Source organism: Homo sapiens, chromosome 7 (assembly GCF_000001405.40).
Source record: "Homo sapiens chromosome 7, GRCh38.p14 Primary Assembly".
Taxonomy (NCBI): Eukaryota; Metazoa; Chordata; class Mammalia; order Primates; family Hominidae; genus Homo; species Homo sapiens.
In genome coordinates this window covers 22,932,364-22,949,473 of record NC_000007.14, presented here as the reverse complement: position 1 = coordinate 22,949,473, position 17,110 = coordinate 22,932,364, and the positions used below count along the sequence as shown (strand labels likewise).

Sequence of the window (17,110 nt, the reverse complement as noted above, 5' to 3'; positions counted from 1 at the left end):
ATCTACATGAATAAATTAAACCTAACTGTGGGATGTCAGAGGATATTTAACTCAAACGGACTCGAATGAAGAGTTAGAGTTAGTATTTATAGTATGTTAGAAGAGACATTTGAAGTTAAAAGATTTTACTGGTTAGCTTCCCCCACTGAATAGTTGTGTAGCTCTTCCTGAACTTCAGTTTCCTTGTCTGTAAATGGGAATCAAATTGCCTACTTCAGAGGCTCACTAATAGATTGTTTTGAGATTACAATTGAATAATATATGTGAACACTTTCAAGAAAGCGACTTAGGGCAATTCATTGTAAGTATTGTTCTGTATTCTATTAGGCCTATGCTTAGCTTTTAAAATTTTATTAAATTTTAATATTCATTGCCTTTTTTATGTCTGGATAATTTCCGAAGTTTGATTTTTTTTGGACTGGAGATCCCTTTAGTAGATCTTTTGTGAAACAGCTTCCACAATGTAAATAAACAAGTCTTGGCTGTCACTCCACAGTGCCATGGCGATTTTATCTCAGTTGCAGTGACCTCTGGCATGTACCTCAATAAGAATTTATTTGCCCTAACTTGGAAGACAGTTGTTAGCAATTGGAAACAGGCTTGGTTGGAGGTTTTTAGTTTCATTAATCCTTTATTACAGAGCACCCAGAAGCAGCAGTGCACTACTACCTCACCAACATTCTTCAGCCTATCTAGGAAATAAAAACTTCATTTAGAGAACCTTTAGTCAAAAGCCTATGAAGCACTAATTTAGGGGAAATAATTACACCAGCATGTTGGCTCAGCAGTGCGAGGCACCATGAAGCTTTGAGGAGGGGCTCCCAGAAGTGCATATTGCTGCTGGGTATGGAGTATCCAAGGCACCCGTAACAACTTTTATCTTAAGTTTTTAAAATTTGAAAGAATCAGAATAGAGCAGTGGTTCCCAGACTTTGTTACACGTTAGTCACCTGGGGCTTTTAAAAATCTTATGCCCAGGTCATATCTCACACTAATTATAAATTAGAATGTTTGGGGGTTGGAGCCAGGCATCAGTAGTTTTTAAAGATGCTCAGGTGATACCAATGTGCAGCTAAGTTAGGGAACCACAGTAATATGTGGCTCTGGCCTTTGTTCTTTTACTACCTGTTACTGTTTCTCAGCCTTTAGCATCATTAGTGGGAGTCTGATAATCCTATCACGAAAGTATTTGAAAATAGTAGGTGATGTCCCATAAGCAGGTTTGTGGTCTACAGTTTTTAAAAAGTATATGCTGTTTTACATAGTCTTATGTTGCTTTGAACTTTGTTTCACTACTGTCACCTTCTAGGTATATTTATGTTACTTTTCCCCATTTACATGAATAACTCCTTGTAACATTATGCCTTTCTTATTTAAGACCAGAATAAAATCATGTCTACAGGTATTAACTAGTTAGGAGTTTTGTTTCTTTGTTTCATTTATAATGGCTGTTTTCAGATAAAGGGCTGACAACGAATTTGTTTTTCCAAATCCATTTTTATTTTTCTCTAGTCTAGTAATGAACTAAATTTATGAAATTGGTATGAGTCTGAATAAATCAACTGCTTAACTATATCACAGCCACATTAATACTTACTGTTAATAATAGATGATGTATATGTGAGACAAAAACTATACCTGTGCCATTACTAACCATGATATCATATATGAATAAGCATTTTCCCAAATATCATGGTTTATTAAGTCAGTCTCAATGTAGCCTCATAAAAAATAGAATTTTAAGAGTACAAAGGGGAACTTCTGTGTGGCTTGGTTCCTAATGTTGACAAAAGCTAAAGGTTTGGCTGTAGATCCTTGAACATTTGCCTAAGACTTGACATAAATTCAGGTGGTCACCATATTATCTTAAAAACACTAGAAAATTACCCAAAGAACACAAAAAGAACAATTTAAAAACAAATTTTATTTTGATTTATTAGAAAATTTATCTTTCATATTCCATGTGAAATGTGTGTGTGAAAAAATGCAGAACGTGAATTGATGCTCTGTGAATTTTTTGTTTGTCATTTAAAATTAAAGAATATGACCCTATTGTCTCTGGTGCTATCAGAGTATTATAAATTATGGAAATTACTACAGTGCAAATATTTGGCTTAATTCATAACATTCAGTCATCTAATTTTTGTTTTGAGTCTTTTGCTTTTCTCATTTCACGTTTTTGTTTTGTTTTCATCCATCATTTTGTCTTATCATCTTCAATTCTAGAGCAACCTGACAACAATAATGATGCTACTGAATTGGGCATCCTTGTCATTCCTGAGATTAGTGTCACAAATGTGGCCGGAGAGAGAACCGGGAATGGGGAAAAAGGCAGAACACTAGGAGAGATTGATGCTCAGCATATACAGGGTGTGCAGGAAACAGCCACAGATCCTAGAACTGAGAGCAAAGGCTTGCCAGAGATCAGGAGGCAAAAATCTGTAAGAAAAATGATGGAGGATGGAATAAACTCACCTGGCAGAGTGCAGTTTTAGCAGAGCACTTTATAACTGCACTCCAAGGTATCTTAAGGCAAAGGGCCACTGATGCATGTTAAGCAGCAGTTGCACAGTCACAAAAATTTTGCATGTAATCTAATCCAAATGCATGAATTATGCACCACATTTCTCAATGACTCTTAATGTTCTTTGGAATGATTATACCTTTATCGTCTTTGAGTAAATTTTTATGAAAACTGAGGCAGAAAATTCCTTCTAAAATAATTTTCTGCTTATGTTTGGAGTTCTAAAATTACTTTTTCGGCTTTGTCTTTTTGCCATCTTTGTTATGAAGGATAATGTGTATAGAATTTTATGTTTGAGCTTGTGATATTTAGAGTCTAGATTTTTTTAATTTGATAAAATAATCTACAATATAGAGTACAACCTTCTAAAAAAGTCTTTAAAGTATTCTAATACCAATTTTTTAAAAGTTCCTTGGTAAGAGCTTTGATTTTATACTGCTTTGCTACTGAAGGAGAGTTCACCCCTAGTTTTACTGCGTGATATTTCTAATTGTTTCTTATCTTTTGCATGAATAGGAGAATTCTTTCTAAAAACTTAATGGGGTATGGTTTATGGCATGCTTTTTGTTTAATACACTATAAATTACTGTCATTTAATTACAGTGAAGTATTTTTGACATTTTATAATAAATGTTTTGATTTATCCTTTGATTTTCTATAATCTGTTGCTTTATAAATTATGCTAAAGCTTAATTTATGTAAAGCATAACTGATTTGGTGTTAATCATTTAAAAAGATTGCTTAAAATACTTAATGTTAATTAATCTTTGTCATTTCTTTGTTTAGGAAATACAGAATTAACAGGTCAAGAAGAACTGATGGAGATATCTGAAGTTGACGAGGGATTTTATTCCAGGGCTGCGTCTAGTACCAGCCAGTCGGGTTTATCAAACAGTAGTCACAATTGTAGTAACAAGCCAAGTATAGGAAAGAACCACAGACGGTCAGGAGGAAGCAAAACTGGAGGAAAAGAAAAAGAAACTACAGGGGAATCTTGCAAAGATCACTTTGCTCGAAAACAAACTCAGAGAGCCCAAAGTGAGAATCTTGAGCTTCTCTCTTTGAAGAGACTTACTTTAACAACCAGCCAATCCCTACCTAAGCCTAGTAGCCATGGTTTGGCTAAGACCGCAGCGACTGTATTTAGTAAATCCTTTGAACAAGTCAGTGGTGTCACAGTCCCACATAACCCGTCATCTGCTGTTGGTTGTGGGGCTGGGACAGATGCCAATAGGTTTTCCGCTTGTAGTCTCCAAGAAGAAAAGCTTATTTACGTTTCAGAAAGAACTGAACTTCCAATGAAGCATCAATCAGGTCAGCAGAGACCTCCTAGTATTAGCATTACTCTGTCCACAGATTAATTAGTAACATATTTTTCTCCCATAACCTAGTGAACCTGGAAATACAACTTTGCTTCTTTATGAAAGTACCCTGGGTCTTTCATCCGTATTCCTGACAGGAGCCCTGATGTCTTAAATTCTGAAGGCTCCCCTGACTTTATGAAGGGAAGATTGTCTAGGTTGCAGTAAGTTGAAATATGGTTTTGTTATTTCTTGATTAAGATTTTTTCCCCTTGGTTTGAGTCTTTTTTTTCCCTCCTCTTATTTGTTATTGTTGCCCTAAGATTGTCAGTGACAATAAATTTTGACAGGTTGTCTAATCAAGTTGGTTATGTCTCATGTGAGGTTGTAAGGTGGTTTTTCTTGTTTTGGTTTGGTTTGGTTTTTTAATAGCTCCTATTTTGATGGCTGTGTGTTTGGCCTTCAGAGTCAAAGGGAGTCTGCATGTATGGGAACTGTTTTATAGAGAATGGGGCAGAGGCACAACTCCAGGAATTCTCTAGCTCCTGGTCAGGAAGCCAATCTGAAAACAGGCATGTGGAAACACAAAAATGATGTGTATGAAAAGCACCTGATGAAAATATTTGTAAGCAGATCATCTTTATGATTAGAACAATTTGCTCAAAGCCCTGGAAAATGCCTGGTAACCCAGTGCCTAGAATATTATATGATTCCAGGGGATGGCTAGAGGCATTTCTGTTGTTATCTCTGAAACATTTTTATATCAAAAATCAGATTGCTGGTAGGTGTGTTGTTTTGAAGTGTTTTATCTGGATTTAGCATGTGAAGATCCCTTTCAATTATTAAGGTATAATAGGCTGTAAAGCTGATTTACCCTACTGCTGGACTTTGGAAATCCTAGTTAGTTTGGACTCCTATAATTCAGAGCATACGTCATTGGAAGACTTCCTGGAAATCAGTGTAAATCTTGCAACATAGCTCTCAAGATACCACTGTATAATATGTAATTGTTTGTCTGCAAATGCATTTTTCATCTATAAAATGTCATGAAAGAAAATAAAGGTAGTGAAATATGGACAAAGGACATTTATATATTAACTAAAGTTGTTTATGTTTGTGTTCTTAAATTTAAAACACGAAGAAAAAGAAATGTCTTTCTTGTTAGTGAACAGGCCTGTTTTAAATATCTTAGTATGATATCAAAAGAATAATCAATTTAGTTACCTCCCAACTAAAAAGTAAAAATGAAAAAGACGACATGGCAGAAGTTGAAACAAACTTGTATGTATCTGTATGTGACCTCTAGATGGAAATAAAAGTTTGATGTTTGCTAGCCGTGGTCCTTTTGGCTATGGTTGCGGTTCCCCTGTAAAGCAAATGTACTTAAGTCATCATTCAGAGTGAGAGAGAGAAAGCACGGCTGAGGCTGAGTCAGTTGACCGTTGAGGAAGACCTAAGGAGCTGTCCAGTTCTTGGCTCTTTTTCACTGTGACTGCACAGCGGTTTCCTTCTTCATAGTCCCTTGCTGTAGTCACCAAGAGAGCATGCTAGTGTTTTCCTCTTGTTCCTGCTTATGCAGAGCTCAGATATATGAAAAATTTGTATGCTTTGAAGGCTGCCAAAGCATTTATACTCTGGACATAGTTTTAACTGCAACTGCTTTGGCTACCAGTTTAAACCGAGTTCTTCAAAAAGCATGAACTCGTTTTCATTCATTAGCCCTGTTTACAATGTGGATTTTGACATAAATGAATTTGATTTTCTTTTAGCTCCAGTAACAGAATGGAATAAGATCTATTGCCATAAATTGTAGTTAAGAACTGTAAGGCAATCGGGCAGTGAAACTTGATATTGTATTAACTTAATAGGAACCCTGTGTACAATTTAAAATATTTGTAAAATATCACTGTGAATTTACAGATGTCTTTTTGTCATTCTTTAACAATGAATTTCCCCTGTGCATAGTTATTAATAGTATTGGTATTATTAAAAACTAATTTGGCATTTTAAGATTGGCATTTTAAGCAAGTTGAGGTGCTTAGGAAACATTGTAGAATAAGTTTGGGGAAATGTTAGCTGACAGAGCTGAGAGATCAGATTTTCATGTTCTATCACTGTAATGGAACCTCATTTAGACCTCTCTAGACCTTTGCTAGCTGTGTGGTCTGAGGACCAGTAAGTAGGATTGGCATTATCTGGTATCTTGTTAAAAATGCAGAATTTCATGCCACTCTAGGTCTACTAAATCAGAATTTGCATTCTTAACAAGGTTCCCAAGTGATTTTTATGAGAAGAAAGTATCAGAGTGCAAACAAATTACTCGTCTAATATGTAGAATTCCCAGTGGTCTCACAGCCCTAGATCAAATGTGTCAGACACTAGATCATTATAATCTTCATTGGTTTTGACAGCTAATTAATTAGTTTAATAATATTGACATATGGCTTCTTAAGTATTTGAATTCTAGATTGCTAATGATCCTTATTTTTGCAGTAAAAAAGTAACACTTTATATTTTTCTTGTTAACTATAAATGGAATCAGAGCTGTAAATGCCTGAAATTTTAAGTGTGAAAAGGGGTGCCACCCTTTTATATACTGCACAACAAATTTGCATTTGTATATTCTTTTTAAAAAATCTCTGAAGACTTGCTCAGTGAAATGGTTCTGATTTTTTGCTTCAAATGATTTGCACTAATTGATTTTCTGGAGAGCGGAGTTACGTTAACAACAAAATTCTTTTATAGTTCCTTTGATACTATTTCAAATAAGGATTACACATTGAAAGTTTTTATAGAAATTATGAAAATTGGATAATCTTAACTATGGTAACCATTACTATTATCCATACTACTTTCTCCCCACTGAACTTTCAAATTTGAAAATTGGGGTAGCTTTTGTAGGTCACTTTCTTATAAAGATGCTGATGGTCACAGATCTCCTAAGTATCCAGAATAATATTTTTATCATGAGAAGGATTCCACACAAAATTGGGGTCTTGCACCCCATATTTCAGAGGATCTGAACAGAAATTGTGGCTTCATTGCACATTTTAAATCTCTATAGATTCTTGAAATCACCCAACCTCTCACATTTGAAAACCCAACGGCCTGGAGTATTCTGGTGGCACTGGAGCCAGCACTAGCTTTTTGGAATCCAAGTGGGGAGAGAAACAAAAATAGACTTTTCAAGGGACTGTCCCAGACTACCCAGGGCAAATGTCTTCCCTTCCCTTCCTGAAGCCACAGGAAAGCACCCTGGAGTCCTTTGTATACCACTATGGAAATTTTTAAGGCAAGCTCTCAAGACTTGAAGAGTTGGAATTCTCGGCATTTAAATGATGCCTGAAGTTTGTTTTGAAAAAGCAATATTTCATTGCTCTTTTCAATTGTGAAGCAACTGCTCAGCAAATATTACTCATTTTTTTAAAAAGTTGAATTAAAGGGAAATATATTTTTAAAACCAAAATAGATCAAAATGATCCCAGTTTTAAGGGATTTTGCCTATTTTGGAAGAATAAAACTAAAATGTTAAAACTGTTGAATTACAGAGAACAGATGTACTCTGAGACATAATTTTAAACAAATATTTAAAATAAGGCAGGTTAACATTTGCGTTTAGGCACAATAAATCTGTATTAAAGGGAAGCACATCAAGGAAATATATACATGTTGAATAATGTAACTGAAAAATATTTTTTAAAAACCACTTAAAAAGAAAAATAATTTGATGGGTACTTTAAGCATTGTAGATAGAAATTAATGTATAATAGTGTCCTCCCAGTCTTTGTATGAAAAATTAAAACTCTCTAGTCCTTTAATGAGCATGAATTTATACTTCTACATTTGTTGCTTAGTAAAATTATACTCAGTACTTTGAGTTATTCAGATTTATGTTTAATATTGTTAAATTCTTCATCAGAGAGCATAAATATATTGTCTTCTATACTTTGTAACTTGTGCATATCTAAAGAAACTAACAACGAACATTTTGGGAGATGTTTTTGTGTTTTTTTATAGTAGAGTTTTAGAGTACATTTGTCTTAATAGGAAGTTTTTACCATAAACCCAAGATTTTATTTCACGTATTGTTGCTTTCTCTTATATGGAACTTATTGTGTACCTCTTACCTTTATTTCTAATCATTTAGTGATACTAATCTTTTCATAGTAAATATATTTGTTTCTAATTGTATTCCTAGAGTTTACATTCCTAAAGAATAAACGACGACTTTGGCTATTTTTGTGTGTTCCCTACCTTCTTAAGGCTATGGAAATAAACTGGAGTTTAGTTTTTTGAATTTTTGTATATTTGTGTAAATGTTCTCCATATGTAGTACTTTATACAACAAGTGTTGCCTCTTGTTTTATTGAAATAAAAACTGAAAAAAATATTTTTTCCAGATCAGTTTACTCATTTAAAAAATTATTATAAAAATTTGCAGAAGTTTTGATATGAAGGAAGAGAATAAAGGAGGAAGACTTAGGTAAGTTGAGCCATTGAGAGCTTTTGGGGGTAAGTGATAAGACAATGACCTCATTCCTGGCTTTGTGCTTTACATGTCATAGGGCTGAGGAGTATGACAGGTCCACTCGTATTCATCCAAAGATGAAGATGAGCTCTATGGGCCATGCACCAGTGGCGGATTATTTGTCATATCAGAAGCACAGGCAAATTTAGGTAACATCACTTTGTCCTTCTAACTTTAGAATCTTTATTGCCATGTGTGGTGAGTAGTAGTCCCAACTACTCAGGAGGTTCACTCGAGCCCAGGAATTTGAGACCAGCCTGGGCAATATAACGAGATCTTATCTCTTAAAAAAAAAAAAAAAGCAAAAGAAGAAGAAAGAGTCTATATCTCTTGAGTACAGAGATTATATGCCCCTAGTACCTAGATAGGACTTTGTGCGTGGTAGGTATCTAGACATTTATGAGACAATAAATGAGTTAGGTTGATGTTAGCTTTGGAAAAGAATCAAGGATAAGTCTTCAGTGTTTTCTTTAACAGTACAATTTTAGAATTTTGTTTGTTGGCTTTAGGAAATCTCAGTGGCATTACATGAATTGCATTATAGCATGTACTTAGAAAAAAGAACTTATGGCTGGGTGCGGTGGCTCACACCTGTAATCCCAGCCTTTTGGGAGGCCGAGGTGGGTGGATCACCTGAAGTCAGGAGTTCAAGACCAGCCTGACCAACATGGCGAAACCCCATCTCTACTAAAAATACAAAAATTAGCCAGGCATAGTGGCGGGCACCTGTAGTCCCAGCTACTCAGGAGGCTGAGGCAGGAGAATCACTTGAATCTGGGAGGCGGAGGCTGCAGTGAGCCGAGATCATGCCACTGTACTCCAGCCTGGGCAACAGAGTGAGACTCTATCTCAAAAAAAAAAAAAAAAAAAAAAAAAAAAAAAAACAGAACCTATTAACCTATTAGACACTTGAAAAAATTCCTGGCTTGTAGTTGATTATATGTTTGGTTAATTCCATTTCATCTAAGGAACTAAGTAATTTAGGAAATGTGTTCTTAACTACTCTTAGAAGGGTACTTGTAGAGAACCAGAGTGGTGATTTTGTAAGCAGTATTTTGTCCTATACAATATGCACTCTTCCAGTAACTCCAGTAGTCCACATAGCTGACTCACCTCCTACAACCCGACTTTGTTAATATCAAGATAACTGTTTTATAATTGTAGAGAAAGATTTTTTACAACCAGTTGTAGTTATTATTTTCTTTGCATTATGTTATTGTGATAGTAGTGGTAGCTAATATGTGTAATTAAAATGATCATCTTATCCTCAAAATCATCCTATAAAGTGCATAGAATCCCCATTTTACAGAAGAGGAAACTGAAGCTCTCAATAGGGTAGAGGACTTGGCTAAGGTCACCTAGCTGCTGAGTGGCAAAACTCAGCCTTGAACACAGGTCTTAGGACTCTCACTTTATATAGCTTGGTAAAAGAAGATACTAATTAAATCCTACCTAATAGAGATGTATTTAAAATTCACTCACCCCATCTGTCTTACAGGTAATAGTTTTAAGGTAAGATAAAATCAAAGTGTTCTAAAAGTAAATCATAATACATTTTACAGAATTAGAGATAATTGTGTTTTAGTGGTCAAACAATGCTCGTTATTCTGTTAGTAAAAGCATGGTAAAATGCAAATTAAAATAAGATTTCTCTTTTTTTTTCCTGTCAGATTGATAAAGATGAAAAAGATTGGTTCTAGTATTGACATTGGTATGGGGAAATCATTAGTCACTGAGATGATTAGCAGGACTGTAGATTGGTACAAATGAATTGGTGGGCAGTTCAACAGGATCTATCAGACTTTAAAGTGTATCTCATACCCTCTGAAACAGCCATCCTACTCTTCTATATTTATTCCATTCTCTGTATTCTACTGAAAATTTAGCACAAATATATAAACATAAGCATGCAAGGTATTCATTGCAGTATTGCTTGTAATAGCAAAAACAAGCCAGCAAATCTAAATGTCTGTTAATAGAGGAATAGATAAATTATGGTACGTACATATAGTGGAATATAATGTAGCCATTAAAAAGAATGCAGATCTGTATGTGATGATTTACATTGATTATTCAGTGTATGATCCCACTTGCATTATAAATGTGTGCAGTAGTTAAATATGAGTGTGTGTATATGTATAATACACACTTACGTTTGCTAGTATGGGGGAGGAGAGCATTGTTTCTCAAAGTGTGGTCTAAAGACAGCCTGCATTAGGAAATTTTTTTTTTAAATGGGGATTCCTGGGCATTGTGCTAATTTCCCTGAATCAGAATCACTGTGAGTGAAGCATGGAAACCTGTATTTCTAACGGGTTCCTCAGTTGATGGCTTATACAAATGTAAAATATGGTCTAGTAGCTGTCAGCAATGAATTGGATATCTGGTAGTGGATTGTAGTTAGAAAGGGCAAACTTCTTGAAGAGATCTTGTATTTTAAATGAGGCCTACCTAAAATAAAGCCAGTTGAGTAACGTTATCAGCATAGACCTGTTAATGAAGGTGAATTGGCCTGACATAGAAAAATGATTCTACCATACAGCACTACACACCAACTAAATGAGCAAGCCTTTTAAAAAATCCTTGTTGAACTTCCCAAATATCAGATGACCTGTTAATAAAGCACAAGTAAATAATAGGACTTACTGTGGTAAGAGAAAGTGCCACCTTGATTTGGTTGTGTGTCAGAACCAGAAAGTAAGATTATTTGTAGGGCTTTGGGATCTATGCTCAAATGGTTTAAGGTATGTCTGTCAAGGCAGGGAACTGATTGGGATTAGCAAAGTTGATAGTTCAGAATTAGTGGACACAGCAAGCAGGGTTCTTGAAGATTCCTGAAAAGTCAACTGTTGTTTGAGAAACAAGCTGTTTGCCCAGGTGAGCAGGGCTTCACCTGTAGGAATTGTCTTCAACCTTAGGAATTTCCTCTACAAACAACAACAACAAAAAAATAGGGATTGTTCTTGTTTTTATTTGCTTTGTTTTGTTTGTAATCTTATCTTTCCTGGGCAAAGATTTCCTGGAATAAACAACTAAGTTATGTTGACATACATGGGCTACAGTCTTATCCAAGCTGTATTGACACTGATGGATTCAGTTTGTTTTTCTTAGCTCTCTCTATTCAAAGATTATAAGTCAATATTATGTATATAGCAATTGACAGGTCATAAGTACGGCATGCTAACTGATCGTACCACTGGAGCTCCAACAATTGATGTATCTTTGGTGACTTCTTAGTGTTCTGCTGAAGATCGCAAAGATTTCTGTAGCTTCTTGACCTCTATAACACTTGGTTCACACTTGTTAAGTGTTCTAATATAATCCACATCACATTGTGCTGTGACTTATCTTTCTCATATTTGTCTCCCTCACTAGACCACAGCCCTGTGGGAATATAATATAACTAATACATAATGGTGAATAAAGATTTGTTTTACTAGATAGAATATAAATCGAATCCAGGAAATCAGTGGCAGCATAGGAGAGACTGTGTTGCTTCTCTTCTATTCAATAGAAGTCTTTGAAACTCCTTTTATTCTCTAATATTCTTCATGGAGATGAAAATGAAGGTTGTAAAGCTTTACTCTGATTATTTTAAGCATGCCTGCATAAAAATGTTTTGAGAAGTAAATTATGCATCATGTTTCTCTTTAGTTAGACTATGAATGGTGTGAAGAATTTTCTGGGCTAATGTTTGACATTTATTATTCACTCCTGTAGATTTGTGGTGAATATGAATGGTATCTGGACTAATCAGAAAACAACGTAGGAAAGGCCTAACTTCAACACTGAATTCTTGCTCCTTGTCTCACTTGCTTCCTTTTGTAGAAACTACAAGTATATTTAACTTTTGTATCCTAGATCCACTACGGCCTACTGAAAGCCTATCATGCATTTATCTTTAAACTTTTACTCTCTTCATTTAGCCAACATATTTCTACTTCTATGTTGCCTGCTGTGCTGTGTAATTTTCTACAAACATTTTCACCTCCAAATCCCTTGAAATGAAACCCTCTGGAAGAGCATCACCACTTTTTCTTCCTCTATTCTAATTCCCCTCTAGTTTCCCCTCTAGTTTAAGACTTTTGTTTCAATATTTATTCTTTCCTTAAGCCTTTAAATTCATTTATATCCACCAAGTTGAATTTGATGAGACAGGACATGTTTGAAAGAAGGACAAACCAAACAAGCAAGCAAACCCATGAATACTCGTACAATAGGACATAATATACATTTCCCAGTTCCCTGAAGGGGTAAAATTGAGACTGGTTATACAAGCAGTATTGCACAGCATGCTGATACTAGCTAGACATAGCCTACAGTGTTTCAGCTTCACTCAAAGATGGTTCTGGAGGACAGTGAGGAAATGAACTTTTTCCAGCGAGAATAAATATGAGCAGTATTTCTAGTCTGCTTTGCACCGAAAGTGAGCCATCCCAAGATACAGATCTACACCATTTATACCTGGCCAGGTGGTTGGAAACACAGACGTAATAAGATTGGAGGATGAGTGACAAAAATTGGGAGCTAAACATATTGGACTTCTTAAAATAGGCTCAGATTGCAAGAATAATTGTTTCCTACAGACATATTAAACAAAGGCCCTGTGGTGAAGGAGGTGCTAAATAATCAGATGGTCAAGATGACTTTGAGGATATCAGTAAATCTCTTTGGTATTCCAGCCTTTGTTCAAACAGTTTATGGGCAAAGCGGCTATACTGGAAGGATAGGGCTACACAGGAACTTCAACAATACAGGCCTCCTTTCATCAAGGCTGTCCTTATTACTGCCAGGAGCCGAACTGGCCAGCAGCAGTGACCATCCTAAGATACAACATCTGAGGGTGACCAGATAGTTAGTGGCAGATTGATTATATCAAATATTTTCTTTCATGGAGAGACAACTATTTGTCCTCATGGAATAGAGCCTTACTCTGGATCTGGCTTTAAGTTTGCCTTCCCTAAGCACCATGCTTGTGTGTGCAATAATAAGCTTCCTGTTCACCATTATGATTTTCCCCAAAATATTGCTTCTAAGAAACTTATTTTACAATGTAATCAGTGAGGTAGAGGTAGAATTACACTTTCAGTCATGGGAAACTAGGTAATTAACATCAAAATTCCCATTGGCAACTAGATAATCCAGCAAAACTCTTCAAAACATGAAAATCTAGGCCAGGCGCAGTGGCTTATGCCTATAATCCCAGCACTTTGGGAAGCCGAGGTGGGTGGATCACCTAAAGTCAGAAGTTCAAGACCAGCCTGGCCAACATGGTGAAAGCCCGTCTCTACTAAAAATACAAAAAAAATTAGCCAGGTCTGGTAGCACATGCCTGTAATCCCAGCTACTCAGGAGGCTGTGGCAGGAGAATCGCTTGAACCTGAGAAGCGGAGGTTGAGGTGAGCCGAGATAGCACCACTGCACTCCAGCCTGGGCAACAGAGGAAGACTCTGTCTCTAAATAAATAAACATGAAAATCTAGAGAGGCAAGCATTGGCACAACTTCTTTCCTGGAGGTATTGGCTGATTCTAGAAGCATTTAAGGGGATAAGCAGTGCTTCTTACTGCTCCAGGATATTAGGAGGACAAAAACTGAATGCCAGTGCCTGCCAAGTCATAAAAGAGGGCTTAGGAAATTCCCATGCTTTGGGCTGGGACCCAAAAAAGCTCCACCATAGGAGTAAGAGTGAATTGGAAGTGCATCAACTCTCCCCCATACACAGGGAATTCAGCACGGATTCAAACCATCCCAATTCCTGAAATCAGATTAAAAATGATCCCCTAAGTGCTTGGTAATAAACAAATCCTCTGTGGAGGTGGAAAAAAAACCCCATCATCTTAAGCCTCAAGTTCTACAATTTTTCAAATACAGTCTTCACAAGAGAAAAGAAAAATAACCAGACACTTCTATAGCAGAGCAACACTCATTGAGAACAACAAGCAGCTTTGGGTAAAATTGCTTAAAACCTCTGTTTGAAGCCATTGAAGAACTTTCAGCTAAACAGGACTCTAGAAGACAAAACGCCAGAGAGAAGGTGTGCAGAAAAGAGTTAACATAAGAGGCTGAGATGCTATCCTTAGCCCTGATTTTAAAGCTGGGCTTTGGCTAGTGTCTGGGAACTTGGATTACCGGAATGTTCCCACCATTCCCTAACTGATAAGGGGGTTTACTCTTTGTAAACTATATAAACAACATGGTTTATGCTGAATTCCCGCTTTGCTTCTAGGAGTCTGGAATTATGATTTGTGCTGGGCAGAGGGTGCCTCTATCACTAACTTCCAATACAAACTTTGGGCAGTAAGACTCTAACGAGCATCCCTGGCAGACAACATTTCACACCTGTTGTCACAATTCAGTACTGAAGTAATTAACCACAGCCTGTGTGATTCCACAGGCAAAGGATTCTTGGAATCTTGTGTCAGGTTTCCTCTGGACTTCACCCCATGTCCTTTTCCCCTTTGCTGATTTGCTTTGTAGTACTTTTCTCTAATAAATCATAGCCATGAGTATGACTATATGCTGAGCCTTGTGAGTGCTTCTGTTGAATCACTGAACCTGGGGTGCTGGCGTGGTCTTGGGGACTCCCAATACAAAAGTATTTTAACCAGAGAAGTGAGCAGACATTCTGCAGCTACTTCTTCCATTATGGAATTTGCCAAATCTGGGTAAAAGGCCCAAGAAGAGAGTTACTGTTAAGAATCAGAGAAGCAAACAAGTTATGGAAACCACACAGGACTGGAGAAACAAAAAGAACAGGGCCTTTAAACCAATCGCACTTGGGAGAGCAGAGATCCTAGTAAGACAGGAAGTTCAGAGAAGTGAGCCTGGCACTTTCCTTGTTTTCCTCTTGAGTATTTGCTGAATTCTTGGATTGCTCAGAGAGGGAAAAAAAAAAAAAAAAAAAAAAAAAAAAGAAAAAAAAGAGGCGGAAACTTGCTGAAAGCCAGAAAAAAGATTTTTAGTTTTTATGCATCATGGCACTGAGAGATAAAAATGTTATTTCACAACCCTTCAAAAGGGAAAGCCCCTAGTACATATCCCAGGATCTCATTTAAGAACTCTGTAGAGATACAAACAGGAGAATCAAAGTAAATTATACCTTATAAAAATTGTAACTTAGCTTCAAGTCAACTGAATGATTGATTGAATTAATGCAGTCTGCCTGCCACCACTCTATCTTCCCACCAGGAATATATCATCCAGACACTATAAAATGTATCATATCTAATAGCTAACATTGTGTCAAAAATTTCAAAGAATATTAAAAATCTGAACTATGAGGGAAAAGGCAATAAAAACATCCACAGATGACCCAGTTATTAGTGTTATCAGAGACAGACTTAAAAAATAGCTTTGATTAATGAGTAAAGATGGAGAATTTCATGAGAATCAGAATCTATTTTAAAAATTCAAAATTCCAGAATTAATGCAAAACATACATATTTATGCATATTGAAGAATGGATTAATCAAAAGAAAGAGATTGTCAGACTGGATTTTTTTTCAAAAGATCAAACTATATGGTGACTACAAGAGACATGCCTTGGATTCAAAGACACAAGACACAAATAGGTTTAAAATAAAAGGATCCAAAGTGCTATACCATGCAAACAGCAACCATCTAAGAGAGGCAGAATGGCTACACTAATATCAGACCATTAGACTTTAAATCAAAACAAAGAAAATTGTTATTAGAGATAAAGAGAAATTTTATAATGATGAAAAGGTCAACTATCACAAAAATATAACAATTATGAACATGCATGCACCTAACCCCAAAATACACGAAGCAAAAATTAACAGAATTGAAGGGAGAAACCGACAATTTGGTAGCAGTTGGAGATTTCAATATTTTACTTTCAGTAATGGATACAATACCTAGGTAGAAGATAAAGATTTATCACAATAATTCAAGGTTGATGAATTAGCTTCCTAGAACTGTTGTAACAAAACACCACAAACTGCATGACTTAATACAAGAGAATTTATTCTCTCATGGTTCTGAAGGCTGTGTGAAATCAAGGTGTCAGCAGGAAAATATCCCCTTTGAAGGCTCTAAAAAATCTTTTCTTGCTACTTCCTAACTTCTGGTGGTTCCTGGCAGGTCTTGGCTTGTAGCTGCATCACTCCAATCTCTACTTCTGTTGTCACAGGGCTTTCTTTCCTGAGTATTTTCATATGACCTTTTTATAAGAACACCAGTTATTGGATTTAGGGTTCACTCTAACCCATTATGACTCCAACTTAGCTAACTACATCTGCAAAGATTCTATTTCCAAATAAGGTGAAATTCTGAGGTTTTAGACCAATGTGTTTTGGGGGATCATCATTCAATCCCATACAGTCGTCCCTGTGACTCCCCAAAATTCACATTCATCCCACATGCAAAATACATTTACCTAATCTCAGCATCCTTCAAAGTCTTAGCCCATTCCAGCATCACTTATAAGTTCAAAATCTCATCTAAATATCATCAACTAAAAAAGTCCTAAATCTCATTATCAAAATTAGGTATTGGTGAGAATCTGGGTATGGTTCATCCTGGGGAAAATTTCTCATCTGTGGACCTGTGAAACCAGAAAATAAGGTATCTGCTTCCAAAATACAATGGTGGGACAAACATAAGAGAGATATTTCCAATCAAAAAGGGAGAAATTTGAAGGAATAAAGGGGCCTCTGTTAGCCAACAGGTTTCCTGATTCCATTAAGATTCAAGATGTAAGAATAATTCTCTGTGACTTGGTGCTCCATCTTCTG

The 17,110-nt window shown here is 36.1% G+C and overlaps 1 protein-coding gene across 5 annotated transcripts in view; it reads left to right on the top strand.

The window, feature by feature from the left end:
• HYCC1 (hyccin PI4KA lipid kinase complex subunit 1) overlaps positions 1–17,110 on the top strand; it is a 118,288-nt gene that overhangs the window by 64,657 nt on the left and 36,521 nt on the right. For 2 of the 5 annotated variants that reach the window (NM_032581.4, XM_011515589.3), the window contains exon 11: positions 3,311–15,263. The exons of 1 other annotated variant lie outside the window; for it this stretch is intronic. In NM_032581.4, the coding sequence (NP_115970.2) occupies positions 3,311–3,885 (575 nt within the window). In that variant the 3' untranslated portion in view covers positions 3,886–15,263. Of the gene's footprint in view, positions 1–2,226; positions 2,523–3,310; positions 15,264–17,110 lie in introns of those variants that run through there. 2 more of the 5 variants (NM_001363467.2, NM_001363466.2) reach the window with 2 other exon arrangements.